This window comes from Homo sapiens, chromosome 4 (assembly GCF_000001405.40).
Source record: "Homo sapiens chromosome 4, GRCh38.p14 Primary Assembly".
NCBI classification, from domain to species: domain Eukaryota; kingdom Metazoa; phylum Chordata; class Mammalia; order Primates; family Hominidae; genus Homo; species Homo sapiens.
The window spans coordinates 24,399,415-24,420,498 of NC_000004.12; the positions used below are offsets into that span (position 1 = coordinate 24,399,415).

The following is a 21,084-nucleotide window of genomic DNA, read 5'->3' on the forward strand; positions in this document are numbered from 1 at the left end:
TCACCTATTAACTGTTCTGAAAATTTCTCTGACAGGTTGCTTTTTCCATAACTAAAAATTATTCAGCATGGAGAGGCAGCTCCAGGAAAAACCTTACACTTCACTGGGACTGAAGTTAACTAATTTATCACCACAGCAAAAGGACATTATGTGTAAGTCAAGAACTTCCACAGGTGAGCAGAGAAAGTGGGATGTGGGATAACATCCAGGGGCCAGAACATTGTAGGTTTTTATTAAATATTTATATTAACAAAATACGAACACTCATTTCCACCAGACAATATTTTGGAAATGGGTACCAGTAGAGTGCCAATATTTTGATGTTCATCATATCTTATTATCTGAAGCATATGAACATTTACACCAAAGGAATCTCCTTTTTTTTTTTTTTTGAGACAGAGTCTTACTCTGTCACCCAGGCTGGAGTGCAGTGGCACGATCTTGGCTCACTGCAACCTCTGCCTTCCGGATTCAAGCAATTCTGCCTCAGCCTCCTGAGCAGCTGGAATTACAGGCACACACCACCACACCTGGCTAATTTTTGTAATTTTAGTGGAGACAGGGTTTCACCATGTTGGCCAGGCTGGTCCGAACTCCTGATCTCAAGTGATCCACCCCGCCTCAGCCTCCCAAAATGCTAGAATTACAGGTGTGAGCCACCACACCTGGGGGAGGAATCTCTTTAAATATTCTATGGAGTAATTCTTAAGTATTCAAAGAGCTGAAATACACTTGTGATGGTTAATACTGAATGTCAACTTGATTGGATTGGGGGATACAAAGTATTAGTCCTGGGTGTGTCTGGATGGGTGTCGCCAAAAGAGATTAACATTGGAGTCAGAGGGCTGGGGAAGGCAGACCCACCCTTAACCTGGTGGGCACAATCTAATCAGCTTCCATCGAATATAAAGCAAGCAGGAAAATGTGAAAAGGAGAGAGATGGGCCTAGCCTGCCAGGCTACATCTTTCTCCTGTGCTAGATGCTTCCCACTCTCAAACATTGGACTCCAGGTTCTTCAGTTTTGGGACTCAGACTGGCTCTCCTTGCTCCTCAGCTTGCAGAAAGCCAGTTGTGGGATCTTGTAATTGTCTAAGTTAATACTTAATAAACTCCCATATATAGGAGATATATCTATATATATCTTATTAGTTCTGTCCTTCTAAGAGAACCCTGACTAATACAACACTCCTCTCCCCTTCCCTGTGTTGTAACTATTGCCAGCAATGACATTGACACACTTGCTTTAATCTGTAGGTGTCTAATTTGCAGAAACCTTCATTTTATGTTCTAATGTGAGAATTTAATGAGCTGGCCCAGTCAAAGCGCTTAGCACCTAGCTCATCGTAAGACTGTCAGGATGATGGTGGGGAGGATGATGAAAATGGTGACGAAGATGGTGATGATTTTTAAAAGCACCTATGTAAAATGTGAGGCAGATATGCCAAGTGACTGAAACTAAAATCAATGAAGGACAAATGGAGCATTCTTTGTTTTAAACTTAAAACTCCAAAGAGGCATGATTCAAAGTTGTTTACTTGTATCTGGAACATATGAACCTGTATCAGGTCTAAGTAGGTACTTTAAATATACCTGAATTTTCTTTTTTTTTTTTTTTTTTTTTGAGACAGAGTCTCGCTCTGTCGCCCAGGTTGGAGTGCAGTGGCGCGATCTTGGCTCACTTCAAGCTCCGCCTCCCGGGTTCACGCCATTCTCCTGCTTCAGCCTCCCGAGTAGCTGGGGCTACAGGCGCCCACCACTACGCCCGGCTAATTTTTTGTATTTTTAGTAGAGACAGGGTTTCACCGTGTTAGCCAGGATGGTCTCGATCTCCTGACCTCATGATCTGCCTGCCTCAGCCTCCCAAAGTGCTGGGATTACAGGCGTGAGCCACTGCGCCCGGCCATACCTGATATTTTCAAAAAATATTAGCATTGTCATGAGGGTATGACAGTAATTATTATGATGGTGCCACTCACAAACATTAGGTTTCAAACTTCCATTATCGGGCCAATGAACACGTTTGCCCATGAGTCCAAGGTCCACGAAGAATTCTCCACACTTCATGTTCTAGCTTGCTTACTGCTCCAGAGAGAAAGAACCGCACCCACCTTCAGAGCTGAGGATGATGGTTAATGTTTACTGAGCATGTACTATGTGCCAAGTTTGATGCTCAGTTTTTCCCTCTTATCTCATCCAATCCTCACAAAAACCCTTTAAGATAAATTCTTAATATCCCATCCTATTGGGGAAAGAGCATGGCAGAGTCGTTAAAAGCACAGATAGAATCGCAGCTGTCATTTGCCTTGAACCAAGCTACTTAATCTCTCTATGCCTCAATTTCCTAATCTACAAATAGGCATGACAATAGAAGGTAACTCAAGGCTGATGAGAGGTGAGTGGGTTGGTACATGTGAAGTGCCTGGAACATAGTAAATATCAGTAAACATGTAAGTCTTGGCTATTATTTACTTTACAGATGAAGAAACTGGGGTTTAAAGAAGTCAAATTACTTAGCTTGTAAAAAGCAGTGCTGGGACTCAAATCCAGGCAGTCTGGCTTCAGACCCTTGACATAAAGAGGGAAATGGAAATACAGCACCCACTCCGCGGCTGCTCTGAAGCTTCATCTGCACACGTAAGTGCTCTCGCCCCACCCCAGTCAAGGGAAGCGCTGCTGAATAGAACTCTATTTGGTTGAGGTGGCAGCAGAATACAGGAAAGGCCTGGCCTTCTGGCCTGCTTGACTCCATCCTACCCCACTCCGTAACCTGCCACAGCACAGCACTGTTGCAGAATGGCGGACGTGGACCAATGGTTGAGCGGTGGAGAGAGATACTCCTCAGGGTTCTTGGACTCTGCAGCGGCTGCTACAGCTGTCTCCCCAGCGACAGGAAAGGATCGCCAAGACAGAAGGGGGAGCTGCCGTGTCTTCCCCAACCAACATGCGAGCTGTTTGAGAGCCCAAACGGCAACAACAGCCGCCATTTAACAAACACTTCCATTGGCCAGGTGGTGCTAGGCATGTGACAGGAACGTCTTAATCTGATCCCCATGACAATCCGATGAGGCATGGGTTTGTCACTATGTCCTCTCTGCAGATGAGGAACCTGAGAATTAGTGAGGTCAGGTACATTGCCCGAGGACAGATAATTAAACACCAGAGCCAGGGCTCAGCCCAGAGCTGGGTCACAGTTTGTCCTAAGACAGTACACACCAGAGATGAGGACTGGAATAAAACGGCAAATGTAGCAACAATGAGCTTCCTTTCCCCAGAGGCCTAGTGGACAGAGCCCACCAGCCAAACACTTGGGAGACAGAGGTTCCAAATCTGAGCTTGGCTCCTCACTCTGCTCCCTACTCACCAAGCACCTTGAGGCTGCCCACAAATAGCAAGCATCATTTATTGAGGACCTACTATGTGCTCAGCTCTATGCTTGGTGCTAGATTGTACGCCCTACTTGGGCAGGAACAGCATCTGTCTCATTTGCTAATGTATCCCCACAGCCTAGTATGATGCCTGGCTCTCATTAGGGGCTGAATGAATACTTGGAGAATTAATGAATGAACGAGTGAAAATATTCGCTCTGATCCTTACAACTGCTGTAAAGTAAAATTTGAATCCTCTGTATGTAGGAGAAGAAATTAAGTTCAGAGCAGCCAAATCCCCTGTTCAAGGTCACATAGTTAATGAGTGCTACAGCGGGATTCAAACCTAGCCTATCTGGCTCCCAAATCCTACTTTTTCCTCTCTATTTCTCTTCCCCAAAAGGACACAATGCCACTCTCCCACCTCCCACGGCTATCATGAAGATGAAATGAGATAAGGTGGTTGAATGGGTTTTGTAATCACTGTACTTGGAAAGGTTGGTAACTGTGATTTTTAACACAAAATCAAAGCCTAAAGTCAAAACAGCACAACTTCAGTGGAACGTTAAGCTCTGAGAAGAAATAGGAGTATTTGGGGCCAAGAAGGTTTTTGCTAGCTTTGAAATCAAATCACACTGCGTACTCGCAGCCACCTTCTCAGGATGTGGGTGAGGAACAGAATCCCCAGATTTAGAATTGCAGAATTGCAGAATTATGCAAAGGCCACCCAGCACAGCATTCCACCCAGTGCGGCACCCTGGACAGATTGTCACCTCATCTCTGATTGAACAGAAATGTGACAGCATAAGACCAGAAAGAGATACCAGAAATGTAGGTCTCAAAACAAAATACCCGCTGGATACAATCACTTCCCCAGAAGATCTCTTAGGCTCATGTTGTTTTTCCATTCCTGGGTGATCTGTCTAACCTGTAACTTCCATGGTTAAATCAAATGATTTAATTAAGCTTCTGCAGTAAATTAGAATTTAGCAACACTTTATATCTAAGGAATTTTTAAAACCTTGATCATCTCTCTCTCTCTCTTTCTTATAATAATCTTATCCTCATTTTCCGAATAAGAAGAATCTAGACACAGCACAAAAATTTGCCCACAAAATCAGGAAATTAAGGCTCAAATGCAAAAGTGAAGGCTAGGTAGAATTCTACCTTCAAACTCTTCATCCCTTTAAAAGGTGACTGAGGCCAGGTGAGGTGGCTCACGCCTGTAATCCCAGCACTTTGGGAGGCTAAGGTGGGTGGATCATGAGGTCAGGAGATTGAGACCATCCTGGCTAACATGGTGAAACCCTGTCTCTACTAAAAATAAAAAAAATTAGCCGGGCATGGTGGCACACACCTGTAATCCCAGCTACTCAGGAGGCTGAGGCAGGAGAATTGTTTGAATCTGGGAGGCAGAGGTTGCAGTGAGCCGAGATCGCGCCACCGCACTCCAGCCTGGGTGACAGAGTGAGACTCCATCTCAAAAAATATATATATAAATAAATTAAAAATAAATAAATAAAACAAAGGGTGGCTGAGAACAGATCAGAAAACAGAAAGCAATTTAAGGGAACAATAGCCATGAAAGCCTTCTTAAAAACACAAGCAGAATATCAGCGTACAGTGGCTAATAAAGTAAAAATCTTTAGTGAGTCTTCAAATCCTGACTCATCAGGATTGGGAACTCACAAGGGAGGATCTTGCCAACTTCTTTTTAAAAGCTGATAAGCGAAGGCATGGAGAAACTGAAAGATATATATTAAAAACAGTGCAAGAATGCTGTCCCCAGTATAAGGTACTAACATCCTTATTCTCTCTCAGCAGAGGGGGCAACTCAAGGCCTTCTTGATCCAAAGTTGGCAAACTAAATGAGTGACTTCTCAGGCATTAGGACGTGGCAAATGGTGGCCACTGGCAACTCAGTCTTACCTAGATAGAATACAGGCTCGATGTTGCCAGATTTTATATTTTTCAAGAGAAGCCAAAAGTCCTTTTCTTTGGCAGAGTTGGGATTGAGGAAAGAAGACCTTCTTATTTCTAAATATTGTCAAATTCAAGCAACTTCAAACTGCCAATTTGTGACTGCAGCTTTTTCCCTCCTGAGTAATATCACGGTACTACACAACAAGCCCAAATAAGACTCTGAAGACCTAAGTTCCAGTTCTGAATCCTTCAATGATCACTTACGCACACTTTCAAAAGGTCACTTACACTTCCCTGGGCTTCAGTTTCCTCATCTGCATAATGGACTTAATGATGCCTGCCTAATTAATTTCATACAATTTTTGCATGAATCAAATAAAATAAGTTATTCAAAAACAAGGGCTTTATGTCCCCAGGGATGAAAAATAAAATAAAAATAAAATAGTCAATCAAAATAAAATAGAAATTAAAAGTTTGTTGAACTGAAAAGCACTTTGAAAACGGTCAAGCAGGTATTAAATGCAAAATGTCACACAAACTGCTAGTCCTCAAAATCTTTCTAAGTTGTATGAAAAGGTGGTTTTTTTTTTCAAGAAAAGAAAAAGTATTTTCCCCTCCCCCCAAAAAGTTTTTCCAACAAAAGTAATTGACAGTATCTGTTTAGTAACTTGAGAGAGAGAAGAGCGAGAGCTTTTATGCAAATTTGATTTCCCTATAATAATCTAGAGCTATTCTGCTAGAAGGAATTATCTCCGCAGGCTGGCAGCTGTGGTAGGCAGTGAATTAAAAATGGCTCTGTATATGGGAAAATCTGTTCTATAATCAGTGCTATTCTTGGAGAGGACATCAATCTAGCGCAGCTCCCATGGTGCTCCACGCCTGTGAATGACATACAAGCATGAGGTAGAAACTCCCATTACATCACGGCTGGGGATTCTGTCCTGCCTGAGACATTGAACTGCTATCCCAAGGTGAGAATGGATCCAATGGTAGCCTCCAACCAGCCAGTATGGCCAATCCCCTTAAGTTAGGAAAGAACACATTAGAGGACAAAAAAAAATCTTCCAACAATGATTTATTCAACTCAACTCGAACTGCCCAGTCTTAGGGTTATTATAAGGCTTCTACATGTTTTCTTCACTCTCCCCTTTCTTTTTTCTTCCTTCTTCCATTTCTGTCTTCCTCCTTTCCTTTCTTCTTTCCCTCCTTCCTTCCCTCCTTCTTGCCTTCTTTTCTTCCTCCCCACTCTCACTTCTCTCTTTCCCTTCCTTCATTTCTTCGTTTTCCTCCCTGCTATTCTGATACAGAATCTAAGGTTCGATTCCTAAATCACAAGATGCCAGGCAAAGAAATGCTACACAAGGGCTCTTTGTCCATGGGAAAGGCACACGCTACAGAAAAGTATTTTAAGAAGCCAGCAATGACTGCAGTGCTGCACGTAAAATGTCATCATGTTCTTAATGAGGCAATTGCTTGGTCAGTAAAAATACTCTCGCCCTGGGTGGTTAGTATGTTGAAGTTAACTTGGACACTGCATGTGGCAGCCACAGCCATCTTCCCACAAGAAGTTAGGCTGCATGTAAATAAAGCCATCACCTACCCCCAAGTGAATCCTATCTCCTTCATTGGACATGGAATTTTCCTGGGAACCTGTGTCCCTGTGCTTCTGGCGAGGTGTCTTCTTTCCTTAAGTCGAGTGCACCATTATTGTGTCTGTTTGGAGTACTGGATATCAAATTAAACTGTGTGAGTGTGTCTGCATATCTCTGTCTGTGTAAAGGGATTTGGAATTATGCTGATTTAAGTCACTCAGTGTCTTTTAAAATAACTAAACGTCAATGCTAGAAATGCCAAGAAATTGCACTTCGGAATTGGAACTAGTCATCTCTCCCTTTCAAACATTGTTAAGAAATGGCCTTTGTCCAACATGCCACGTCCTAGAGACCCACAGAGCTGAGCATACACATGCCCACAGTGGAAGGTCAAGGTCTCCAAAATGTTGAGTCTTCTACTGAGGTTAGAGCTAGCAGCTCCAGCAGTGTGGGCATATCTGCATGAAAAGGCAGAGAACAACCTAATGAGATTGACAAGCAGTGAATCTGTTTGAGACCACATTGAGCCTGGCCATCCAGCACCAAGATGGCTTGAAATAGCTCTCAGAGAGGCCAGAAATGCTGTCTTTCAAACATGTTCCCTGGAGAAAGGGAATTGTTCCTGCTACCAGGGCCCCTCAGGGATCAGTATCCTCTTGCTGCTCATTCTCAGGCAGGAACCTTTCTCTGTGCTCTTCTTGGGTTCTGTTCTTTTGAGCCTTTTCTTTTTCAGCTATGGTGGCCATAGATACATACCAGGCACCACCAGACATGCATGTATTTCTTGAACCACCTCCACTCTCTCTGAAGCTCCGGAGGCCTCCAAAGTCTTCACGAAAGGCACAAAAGCTGCCTACATTATCACTTTGGTAGGAAAGCAAAACAGGGTGGCACTGCAGGGTTAATTTAAAAGACAGCTGCATCCATTTTGCTCATTACTCTTCATGTATAAACTGCAAATTGCATTTGAAAATATTTTCTTTAAAATAAAATTGTCATTTCTGAGCCTCCTGCAGGCACCCAGTGTCTGGGTAAAACAAGTAGCACTAACATGAAACGAGGGCGTCATCCCTGCCTCCTTTACAGAGGTAGCAGGCCACACCCTGCTGACCCCACTACACAATGAATAATGCAATGAGTGGGAGAATGTTCTGGTAAAATCAATCATTCTCCAACATTGGGAAGCTGGGGCAGAATTTGCTGCACAAGCATCTGCATTCTCCCAGATCCAGTCCAGTGACATCGATTTTAAGAGGAGGCAACTAAATTTGTGACTGCTTCATTTCACCCTCCCATTGACCTTGCTCTCTTTCGCTCAGACCTAAGTTGGTTTCCCCCAGGAATCCTGGAAACAAGAACTAATCCCTTTTGGAAATGAGAATTAAACAGAAGGCATCTGCTGTTTGAATGTTGGACATAGGGGGTCTGAGCCTCAGTCTCTTCCTCTATAAAATAGGGATAATTGTAGTACCTCTTTTATTGGGTTGTTATGAAAAATAAATCCATTAATTCATGTAAAGTATCTGAAATGCTGCCTGACACATAGTTAGCACACAGTAAATGCAGATATAGATACATAAATATAGACTCATTCCAAACTCATTTCCTGATCCTGCAAAATGGGAGACAGCTACTTAAAATCTTCTTCTTAAAAGGCCTCGTTTGGAGTAAGGAGCTCTGGATTCAACACTTGAATCTAAAAATCAATTTTAATATCACCAAAGAGAGACAAACTGATTTTGTACTTCCTGGTGTGATGCAATTAGACATACACACCACCACCCACAAAGTGTTTCTACCAAAATCTTGGACCTGAACTTGAGTGAGCTTCTGGACCCAACAGTTTACAAGAGGAAGATAAAAGGGACCGAGGAACATCATGGATACATACAGCAAAATCCAGGCCATGGAAATTTCAACAAGACAAACTACTCTGCTGCTTCAACACGTAGATTTCAAACAAAGAAAAAAAAAAGACAGGAAATATCTTAGAATAAAAGAAAACACAAAAGGCATATCTACCAAATGCCATGTGTAGATTTTCATTTTGATACTGCTTTGAAAAAAAAAAAACCTATAAAATAGCAACAGTTCAAATTGGGTCAGTTCAAACACTAATTGAATATTGTGATCGCAAATAATTGTTCTTAAATTTTTTTGCTGCTTCTCCCATTGAGGGGCAATCTGATTCCCCTCCATTGGATCTGAGGTGGCCTTAGTGACTTGCTTCTCTACGACCTCTAAGCCTAGGTCATGAGAACCTTGCAGCTTCTACACAAGTGTCTTGAAACTCTTGCTCCTAGAATATTTCTTCTTGGGACCCAGCAGCCATGCTGGGAGAAGCCCAAAAGCATGGAAAGACCATCTGTGGGACCTAAAGAGCTGACACCTCCACCTGAGTCCCCAGCTGACAGTCACATCAGTAGGCCACTCTGGAGATCCAGCCCACTGGTATCTTTAGATGACTCTAGCCCCAGCTAAAATCTGATTATAGTCACATTAGAGACCCCAGACGAAAACTGCCCTGCCGAGCCCAGCCAGCCCACGGAAACACGAAACATAACAACAAACTACTGTTTTAAGCCATCAAGTTTGGAGGTAATTTGTTATGCAGAAAAGGTAATCAGAAAACTTTCTCTTAAAGATGTGTTCTTAAAGATTTATAGAAGAAATGATATGATAGTTGGGATATTCAAATTAATCCAGTTGAGGAGGGGGGTAGAGTTAAAACAAGCTTGCCCACGTGCTGCTAAGGCTAACACTGGGAAGCTGGATCATAGAAAGTCATTATATTCTTCTCTATAATCTTGAATATTTTTTAAATGTTTTATAATAAAAAGTTGTTTTTTTAAGATCTCTGGATTTGTCAAGACAAAGTTTGAAGACTACAGAGAAAAGAATACTAGCTGTTAGGTTAGTGTATGTGGTAGGCATCACAGATGTTATTTTAATGTGCAGAATTGGTAATTCATTATTACCTGTCCAACCTCAGCATGTCCATCTTTAAGAAGACAGTAAATGGAGTTAAAAGAACCTGCAGTCAAGAGTAAAATTCAAATCCCAGCTCTGCCTTCTCCTAGCTGAGATTCCTTTGGCACATTCTTCAACATCTCTGGGTTTCACTGCTTTATGTGCAAAGAATTTTTTTTCCTGATGAAGTTGCCCAATTCCTAAATACTTAAAGGGACAGTGTACACCGGAAAGTGCTACAAAATCACAGATACTAGTGTTGCAAGCTGTAATGAAAAAGAAATTATTTACTCTTAAGGCCCTGACAATATTATATCACTATAGATCATCTACCTACCATGTAAATGATGTTAAATTTCTGTTCTTTTCTCAATTACATTCAGGAGCTGGACAGATGTTTCTTCACCAGGGAGGATGTGCTGGGGTGGCCTGACTAAACTATAAGACATGTAGGGTGTGCATGGCTCATTTTTGGGGTGTGGGGCATCTTGAGAAGATATTTGCTCACCACCCAGGTCATCAAAAATGGGGTTTTACATGACTGCATGTGATTGTTAATCCAGAGAGTATATGTTTGGACCAGAAAACCATGTGTGCTCCAATGGGAGGTAAACAAACCTGCCCTTTGCTGTGGTCAACTCCACAGAGGGGACAGCAAAATGTGCATCTATTGTGGGATAATTGATAATTCTCCCAAACAACAACCAAAGAGGTTAGCAAGCCATTAACTTCACTAATAAATTAATCCACTCAAATGTGTACTGCTGTATCAAGAACTACAATTCTACGTACAGCTCTATGTAGTGAGTTTGGAAAAAGCCAAGTATCCGTAACTGAAGCAGATTCCTCCATTAACTTGTCTTTACATTTCAATGGTCTGTTACTATTGAAAAAATTGTGAAAATAATTAATAAAATAATCTAAGAAGTCAGCTTACATTCACACATTTGCCAATGGCTCATAGTTTTGTAATAAAACATAACAACATAAAAGGTAACATTAAATAACAATAGAATATTATATATACACATACACATATGTGTATGGATACACATACACGTATTTTCCTACATATACAAATATATATAACAAATGGAAAAATAGAATACAAAAAGTTTTGCGTGTGTTCATCTTTTCTATGGTATTAATTGAAATGCCTTAGGCTAGCATTTCCCAAAGAGTGCCCGCAGACTCCTGCCCCCACCAACTAATTTTAAAAATTTATATTTATTAATGCTTGTGATGTTCAATACTGAGCGTCAACTTGATTGGATTGAAGGATGCAAAGTATTGTTCCTGGATGTGTCTGTTAGGATGTTGCCAAAGGAGATTAACATTTGAATCAGTGGTCGGGGTGAGGCTGACCCACCCTCAATCTGGGTGGGCACAATCTAATCAGCTGCCAGCACAGCTAGAATAAAGCAGGCAGAAGAACACAGAAGGACTAGACCTGCTGAGTCTTCCAGCCTCCATCTTTCTCCTGTGCTAGATGCTTCCTGCCCTCGAACATCAGACTCCAAGTTCTTCAGCTTTTGGACTTTTGGACTTACACCAGTGGTTCGCCAGGGGCTCCCAGGCCTTTGGCCACAGACTGAAGGCTGCACTGTCGGCTTCCCTACTTTTGAGGTTTTGGGACTCTGATCCACCACTGGCTTCCTTGCTCCTCACCTTGCAGACTGCCTATTGTGGGACTTCATCTTGTAATTGTGTGAGTCACTTCTCCTTAATAAACTCCCTCTCATATATACATCTATCCTGAAATCATATATATGTTTGGGAAATGTTAGGTTAAACAAGCTTAATGAGGTTTTTGCATTTGGTGGCGGCTGTTTTTAATGACAACTCTTCTCAGAAATGTTAATGTGCACATTGTGAATCTCCAAGAGGTACCCAGAAATGATTTACTCAAGAGCTCTTCCTCCAGACTCTTCTTCCTCAGGACACCCCAGGAGGAAGAAGAGAAGCCGACTGTCCTGGGTAACTAACATTTGGATAGCAGCTTCCCATTTACTCAGTGCTTTACAATTAACTCATAAGCTCTGCAGCACTGCTGTGAGTTGAGCAGGTATCACTAACATTATTTTTCAATAGGTTTTATAATTTTAGAGATGTTTTAGGGTCACAGCAAAATAGAGTGGCAAGTACAGAGAGATCTCATATACCCTCTGCCCTCACACAGGTGCAGCCTGCCCTACTATCAACATCCCAGGCCAAAGTGGTGCATTTGTTACAATCTGTGAACCTACATTGACACATCATCACCCAAAATCCATAGTTCACATTAGGGTTCACGGTTGCTATTACACATTCTCTGGGTTTTGACAAATGCTTTAGGACATGCAACCACCACTGTAGTATCATACGGAATAGTCTCTCTGCTTTAAAAATCCTGTGTTCCATCTCTTCATCTCTCCCTCCCCAGTAACTCCTAGCAACCTCTGATCTTTTTAGTGTCTCCATCACATTGCCTTTTCCAGAATGTCATATAGTTGGAATCACAGAGTATGCAGCCTTTTTACATGGGTTTCTTTCACTTAGTTACATGCATTTAAGTTTCCTCCATGTCTTTTCATGCTTGATAGCTCATTTGTTTTTAGCACTGAATAATATTCCATTGCCTGGATATATCACAGTTTATCCATTTACCTACTAAGGACATCTTGGTTGCTTCCAAGTTTTGACAATAGTGAATAAAGCTGCTATAAATATCCATATGCACATTTTTGTGTGGACATAAGTTTTCATCTCCGTTTGGGTAAATATCAAGGAGCGTGATTGCTGGATCATATGTTAAGAGTATGTTTAGTTTGGTAGGAAACTGCCAAACAGTCTTTCAAAGTGGCTGTACCATTTTGCATTCCCACCAGCAATGAATGAAAGTTCCTGTTGCTCTACATCCTTGCCAGAATTTGGTGTTGTCATTTAATCTGATATTCAAAATGAAGAAACAGTCCAGCCTCCGAGTGAAATGACTGGAACCAAGGTTTTCTAACTGCAATCAGTATGCTCCTTCCATTTCACCAGGGCAGAGGTCAGCAAACTCCTACCCAGAGGTCAAATTTCACCCACCACCTATTGTTCCACAACCCATGAACTAAAAACAATGTTCATATTTTTTAATGGTTAGGGGGAAAAAAAACAAAAGAAGAATAAATTTAATGATGTGAAAATTACATGGAATTCAAATTCCATTGTTGGTAAATAAAATTTTTTTGTTGTTTTGCTTTGTTTTGAGATGGAGTCTCACTCTTGTTGCCCATGCTGGAGTGCAATGGCTCAATCTCCGCTCACTGCAACCTCCACCTCCCGGGTTCAAGCGATTCTCCTGCCTCAGCCTCCCGAGTAGCTGGGATTACAGGCGACCACCATCATGGCCAGCTAATTTTTTGTATTTTTAGTGGAGACGGGGTTTCACTATGTTGCCCAGGCTGATCTTGAACCCCTGACCTCATGATCCACCAGCCTTGGCCTCCCAAAGCGTTGGGATTACAGGGCCTGAGCCACCGCGCCCAGCTGGTGAAGTTTTATGGGTACACAGCCACACCCACCATTTACCCATTATCTATGGCTGCTTTTTTGCTGTGCCAGTTGGGTTGAGTGGTTGCCACTAGAACAGTATAGCCTGCAAAGCATAAAATATTTACTATCTGGCACTTTTCAGAAATAGTTTGCCAACCCTGCACAGAAGAATCAGACCCGATTAGAAGCATCCTCTCAATGAAGAAAATCCTAGGCTTCGTAATGGTTTTCAACCAACAAATGAGAAAATATATTCAAAGGCAGTTTCTTGTATGGCCCTCCTCCCCATAGAATTCTCTTTCTTACTTTCCCAGACATTTTAGCATTGTATAGGCAGTGATGCTACACATAGGAAGTATTGAATTTTGACTCCGCCAACAGTAAAGAGTACTGTCGCTAAGATTCAGACTGTGTTTTCCCCTTCAAGGGAGCTAAGCAGCATCCTGCCTGGCTTCATTTTTTTTTTTTTTTTGCCTTAAGGTTTGTTTATACTCAGCAGGAGGAAAGGTAAGGAGATAAAAGCAACGCAGAATGAATAAAGGAAGACAAGACTACAGCCAAACACGGGGAAGGCAAGATTAGAGGAGCAAGCCCCAGGGAAGAAAGTTTACAGGTTACCAACTGAGTAGATGGAAAGGGAGATTATGCCAGGAACACAGTGGCCAGAAGGAAGAATCCCAGAGACAAAATCGCCACAGGCAAAGGTTATTTCAATGCACAAATCTCCCAAAGTGTGGATCAAGTCGCCGAAATAATTAATTTAATTCTGGCTATTAGCTTCTTTAGCCGGCTGGGATCCCCACTGGTATTTTAACCCAGATCCTTGTGGGGGGGTAGGGATCATTTAGGAAAGGAGCCATGGGAAACAAGAAGACCGTTTGAATCTGCAATTCCTTCTTTCCGCTGCTGGCTTCGCAGCTGGAGAGGAGAGGAGAAAGATCTCTTGCCCAACATCAGCCTGAGAAGACCCTGATATTTTAAGCTCTTGAAAAGCAGAAAAGATGACCTTTTCTCAGCATCCCCCAAAGTAATCTTATAAATGATAATGAGAGGCCAGTCACTGAATGCTTGCGATATGCCAGGCCCCAGATTAGATCCTTCCCATATGTTAAATGTCTTTAATCCTTACAACAACCCCTTGAGTCAAGAAATACTACCGGGATTTTGAAAAGGAGATTTTGAGAAGTCAAATGACAAGGCTGGTAAAAAGCAAAAGTGAGACTCGAACCCACGGTTGTCGGTCTCCAAAGCCCATGCTCTGAAACCACCATGAGACACTGTCTCCCAGTAAGCATTTGTTAATTACCATAAAGCACTAAATTAATCAAACACAAGCTACAGGATCCAAACTGGGTTCCTTCTAGCCATCACATGTACTTATTTGTGCTAAATTATGATGATATTATTTATAAACATAGCTTTGAAACATTGCAGATTACAAAGCGATTTCATGTACATTTATCTCATTTAATTTTGCCCAAAAGCCTGGGTACATTTGCTTTTGGGCAGAATTAAATGAGAATGAAATGGAAAGGAATAGTGGGTGCCTAACCAATATCTTTTATTCTCTTCTTTTTCTCCTTCCAGAGCAGTAGCAGTAGAAAATTATGTGTCCAGCCACCTGATAGATAGGGGCAAAGGATGAACTATAATTAGAGTCACCGTACCTCTAGGTTCACCTGGGATAAGCCTGGTTTATGCTCCTTTCACTCTGAACAGCCCCATTTAGATGATAAATTATATGATCACCCTAGTTCAGTGGTCCCCAGTCTCGACAATCCAATTGGATCCCCTGGGGTCATTTAAAAATACTGAGTCCTGACCCCAACCATAGACATTCTGATTTAATTTGTTTGCAGTGAGGCCCAATATAGGTACTTTTTTAAAGCCCCCTTGTGTTTCAAGTATGCAGCTGGTGCTGAGAAGCACTGTGCACCAGCTCTAAGCCAAAGTTGTTAGGTACAACTTCTGGATAATTTGTTTTAAAACTGCTTGAAGAGAGATTATTCAGGAGGAGGGGGTGGCCTTGCACCCTTCTTCCTTCTTGCTGGAATGCTGACATGATGGCTAGAGCACAAGCAGCCATATTGGTCTATGAGGCTGACCTTGATGATGAAAACCATGGCCGGACATGGTGGCTCATGCCTGTAATCCCAACACTTTGGGAGGCCGAGGCAGGTGGATCACTTGAGGCCAGGAGCTCAAGACCAGCCTGGCCAATATGGTGAAACCCCGTCTCTACTAAAAATAGAAAAATTAGCTGAGTGCAGTGGCATGCACCTGTAATCCCAGCTACTTGGGAAGCTGAGGCATGAGAATCACTTGAACTCCAGAGGTAGAGGTTGCAGTGAGCCAAGATCGCACCACTGCACTCCAGCCTGGGTGACAGAGTGAGACTCTGTCAAAAAAAAAAAGGAAAGAAAGAAAGAAAAGAAAAGAAAGCCACACACTAAGGGGCAAAACAGAGAAGAGGAGCTGGGGTCATCGATAGTTGTGGAGCTAGGGACTATCTCCAGACTTTATTTATAAGAAAGAAAAATAAATCATTCCATTTTCAAGCCACCATATCAAATGTCTATTACCAATAGCCACACAGCAATTCTTAAGTAACATAGTAGGCAACCTTATGTTACAAATGAGAGAAGTGGCCCAGGGTAATACCAGTTTATAAGTAGCAGAGGCCAAAGGTTTTGATTCTAGTCTTGTGACCTTTCTTCTAGAGGGGATGGGGCAGAGTATATTTTAAGGACAAGAAAAGGGTTCCCACTTACAAAAGCAGACCTTTCCAGCCAACTCTACTGACCTTCTGAGAAGTTATTTCTGAATCCCATTTGTATGTGTTGCCAGAACACTGAGAAAGAAGAGGGTTTGATAAGTAATGGCAATTACGAATACATATAAAGTTTGTTTTGCTTGAAGAACAGAGAGTTCTTAATTACATATTCAGAGATGTTCGTCGTAATTTTGCTGTATACTGCAAATATTCTGTATTAGTTATAAATTTATGTAAAATGTTTTAAATCTAAAATTATTTATTCACAAATAGTTTTTGGAGAATCTGGTATGGGGATAACACTTATACTAAGGTTGAGGAGTGAGATTGCAGGGATTTGAGAAAGATACAAGCTCCTACCCATGAGGAGATTAAAATGTACAGTGGGACATAAAACATGTACATGAATAGCTACAATGGATGTTTTGTACTGCCAGCAAGGGGTCGTGATTAATTTTTTAAAAATTACCTTGGGCTTAAGGAATCAGGAAAGGCTTCATGGAAGAGGTGGTAATCGTGTTTTAAGACCTTAAAATGCAGATGGATACAGGCAATTCAGGCCCAGGAAGTGATCCAAGAAAGGCTCAGAGCCAGTTACGAGGCAAGTGTGTTAAAGAAGTTTCAAGAAGTCCAGACACACGGAAGCACAATGTCTTATGCTAGAGAACCAGGGTAGATGGGACTAAGAAGGTAGCTTAAGGTCAAATTACAAAGACTCTTGAAGGCCAGGCTAACAGCTTTGTAATCTATTTAGTATACAGTGTGGATCAATCAAAGCAGTGACCTCAAAAGATAAATGTGCCAAGCCTGTGCAAAATGAATTTGCCAGGGAGAAAAGAGAGGCACGGGACCATGTGAGAGGCTACTGCAATAGTCCAGGCAAGAGGTCAGGAGTGCCAGAATTAGGGCATAGGCAGTGGGAATGGGAGAGAAGGGCTGAGGGCCAGAGACAAAGACCTGACTGCACTTGGCAAGATGTGTGAGACTAGGCGAAGGGATCAGGTGACTCAAGACTCTGGCTGTGGAAATGAGAAGCTTTAATTAGAAGTCCTGGGCCCAGGAACGCAAATATCTAACTGTCGATAGGAAGCATGGAACTGGCCCGTGGGAGAGGCATCAGGATTGAAGTTTTAGATTTGGGAGTCATGTGTCTGGAAGTGATAGATGAAGCCATTAAAAACAGGGAAACATGGCTTGGCACAGTGGCTCACGCCTGTAATCCCGGCACTTTTGGAGGCTGAGGCATTTGGATCACCTGAGGTGAGGAGTTTGAGACCAGCCTGGCCAACATGGCCAAACCCCGTCTCTACTAAAAATACAAAAATTAGCCAGGCATGGTGGCGTCTGCCTGTAATCCCAGCTACTCGGGAGGCTGAGGCAGGAGAATCGCTTAAACCAGGAGGCGGAGGTTGCAGTGAGCCGAGATCACACCATTGCACTCCAGCCTAGGCAACAGAGCGAGATTCCATCTCAAAAAAAAAAAAAAGGGAAAGAGTGGAAAAGGAGAAATTTGGGGATAGGAACTCAAGTAACAGTGACAACTGGTAGGAAAGGAAGGAGAGTTGGAAGGGAGTTAGGGAGGAAGTGAAAGAAGAAAGGAAGATCAGAGAAGCAGGGAGGAAACAGAATGTAAAGTTACAGAGGAAAAGGAAGAAAAGAGTTTAAAGAGGGAGTTCTATTAACAGTATTAAAGCAGTCAAATCACCTTCTCCAGTTTGTTTTTCTTAAACTTGACTTTTCTTTTGTAGGGGTAACTCAGTTCTGTTGAGGAACAACTCCCAGCACATGCCAAGAATCCCTTCCTTCCCCTGGGAAGAAATGGCCACAGCCACCAGATAGGTTTTGAAACCTCACTGATGAAGCAGAAAAACAGTTGTCAGTGATTTGAGAGCCCTGAAATCTGGTCCAAGTTCTGCCTAGCAAGTAAATTTCACAACCTCTCTGGGTGTATGTAAATTCCCCTATAAAACAATGGGTCAAGATTAATTGCACAAAGATACACATTGAAGGATGCTTGTTGTAATATTGCTTTATTATAGCAAAAGTCTGGAAACAACCCAAATGTCCAGCAACAAGGTATTGGTTACATAAATTGATATGTTCATCTAGCAGGTCACTTTGCAGCCATTAAAGGTTACAATGTAGAAATAATTTGTCGACACATAAAGATGTATACATTATATTGAGTTCAGAAGCAAATTATAAAACATGATCTTTTTATAACATATATGTATAGAAAAAATTTATAGATGATATAAATTTCTAAAAGGAAAGATGAGTGGTTGCATATTTCATTTTGCTCATCTGTACCTTCTAATTTTTCTCAAATAAAAACTGCAGGTAAAAGTTCAAAAACATACTTTTTAAAGTGAAATGACTTCTATATGGCTATAAGACTAACCCTCCACCATCAGACTATTTATTTTGTTTTTTCTGTAAGAATATTTATTATATATACATAAAAATAATAAGAATATTATTCATTATATGTCATTTTAATTAATAAAAAATTGTGTGGGCTTTTGTGAACTTGGAGCTGCCTTAAAAACCCTTAAATCTAAAGTGAGAAAACCTGAACTCAACAAGTGCAGCCACCATGGGAAGCTTCCTTAACTCCAGAGTTCCAGCTTCTTTGTTTCGTAAAATTCAATGATATTCCCCACCCCATAGAACTTGGCGTCTGAGGTTGAGTGAGCTGAAATAAAGTGTATTCCAGTTCTTCTAAGCAACAGAGGGCCATCCACATCTAAAGCTGTTATTACATTCGCTACATCAAGCGTTAACTAGTGTTCTAATTAAACACCATGGAATCTTCCAGCTCTCTGGCATTTATCTATGGGTAGAACAAATGTATACTGAAGTCCTACATGAGCCAGCCAAGCACTATGGCAGGTCCTGGAGATGCAATGAGAAGCAACACAGACATTCTCTTTGCCTTTATGTTCCATTATCAAGTCATTTTCTAAACACCGAGACACAAGTGTTAGACTCTAACAGACCTAATTCTAATTAGAGCTTTTAAAGGTGTTAGAACCCAGGCCAGGTATGAACCTAGCTACACTATCATTTACTTATGTGCCAAAGAGTTTGATCATACCCATTTCAAAGATCTATTCTAAAGATTAAGTAATTATACAAAAATGCCTGGAACATAGCAGGACCTCTATAAACATAGCTATTACCATTTTCATTATGAATCCCATTGTTTGCTGATTTAATTACCAACATACCCTCCACACATTTCTTTTCAAGTCACTTAACAGCAAATTTAATTTCACCAGACACACCTCAATGTCAGTCAATTCCTCATCTTTCACTATTTAGGAAATATTTTTGCTAATCATCTGCCAGAATTCTTGTTATTTTCAGAGTAACTTGTGTAGCTGTTATTCAGTTTTCACTCTTTGACACTCTTAGTAGATTCTTTGTTGGTTTCTTTTCTTCTCTGGGACAATAGTAAGGTGTCTAGGTTTCAAATACTTAGCTTCTATTCAAAAAGGAAAAAAAATACTTTTGGATAATGATTGTTTCCTTAGTGGTTAAAAACAGAGGGAAAAGAAGCAGGAGAGGGGGCTGGCACAAAGAGAGATGCTATGACACTTAGCATCTTCCAGAATTTTGGTCGTCTCTACTGAGAACATTTCCAGCAGATGAACACCAAAGAAAAAGGCACACAGGTCAGGACGCCATCTGTTGCTCAGTTGGAACAGACCATTCTGCTCAGAAACCACGGAAGTGTGATATTGCCCTTCACTTCCCACTCCCTGACCAACACAATTCCTAACAAATCTTCAAGTGTGTGTGTGTGTGTGTGTGTGTGTGTGTCTTATGCAACAACACAAACCCAGGAAACATCACACCCTAAACAAATAATCCCCTTCCCCTTAGCAGCATCCTAGATACACAAAGTATGCAATAGAATCCAAAGAACCCTACAATCCCGAAAAACACAGAGATGAAAAGGCTGCCCTCTCCCAATTTCAGCCTTGGAGAACTTCCTTAATGCCACAGCCGAACTATGTAATTGTGACCACACTTCCTTATGGCTGCAGTGCCACCTAGCGGCCAGGTGAGCTAGGGGCGCACTCATTCTCAGTCTGAAAAAGCAACTTTTATCTGCTGACTCTTCAATTCTTTCCAGAGAGGAACAGAAGTGGCTGGTGCACATGACGGCCAGAATTAGGAATCATCAGGGTTCTATCACATTCAAACTATTTCCTGATTATAATCACATCCAAATCACCCAGAAGAGACAAAAGAGGATAGAAAAATTCCTGCCAACTTTAGGTTTTCATGTCCAAATGCATCCTCATACAAACTCACAAACTAGCACAAATATTGAGTCTAAATCCAGGCAACCTTGTGTATTTTAAAGTCTTCAAGGCATGCAATTATATACATTAAATTATTTTCAAACAAAAAGAAAAGTGAAAAATAGGCTCTAAAGAACCAGTAATGAGATTCTTCTTTTCTCTTTTCCATAAACAGTTCTGTCAGTTGCTGACATTTCTGATGCCATCAGACACTTATAACTGGACTGCAACTTTATCTGCATAGAATAACCAAAAGCGTATGCACCTTTTACAGATGACAGCTTAAATAATGTAATTTGTTTGAGACTTAACGTGGGGATACACAACCTAATTCAGTTCATTTTAAACCCAAATTATTCTGGTTAATAGCCTGGTAAATCTCAGAACAGAAAGTGTGCACCGCTGCTAAGTATTCCATATTAAAAATAGTTTGTGATGGGATGTGCTTTTTTTAATTTAAAGTTTAATGTACATTAACATTTTTAGATGAAAAACTGACAATCTGAGAACAGTTCTAAATTCTCCTTTGATTATTTTTCCGGCGCGTTGAAGGCATGATATAGCTACATAAATAGGCTAACACTCTGGTTCTTTGGAAGATTAGTGTCTGTCCGATCGTATGCCCGTT

At 41.4% G+C, this 21,084-nt stretch overlaps 1 protein-coding gene across 11 annotated transcripts in view, besides 1 other annotated feature; it reads right to left on the reverse strand.

Annotated features, from left to right (window-relative positions):
* The window catches only part of PPARGC1A (PPARG coactivator 1 alpha), a 680,885-nt gene that overhangs the window by 607,394 nt on the left and 52,407 nt on the right, over window positions 1-21,084 (reverse strand). The gene's annotated exons all lie outside the window — the stretch shown is intronic.
* Window positions 13,742-14,443: an enhancer, noted in NCBI's record as "NANOG hESC enhancer chr4:24414779-24415480 (GRCh37/hg19 assembly coordinates)". NCBI's record gives its function as "activates a minimal SCP1, AML or CMV promoter by ChIP-STARR-seq in primed H9 embryonic stem cells {active_cell/tissue: H9 hESC(primed)}" and the evidence as "EXISTENCE:reporter gene assay evidence [ECO:0000049][PMID:30033119]".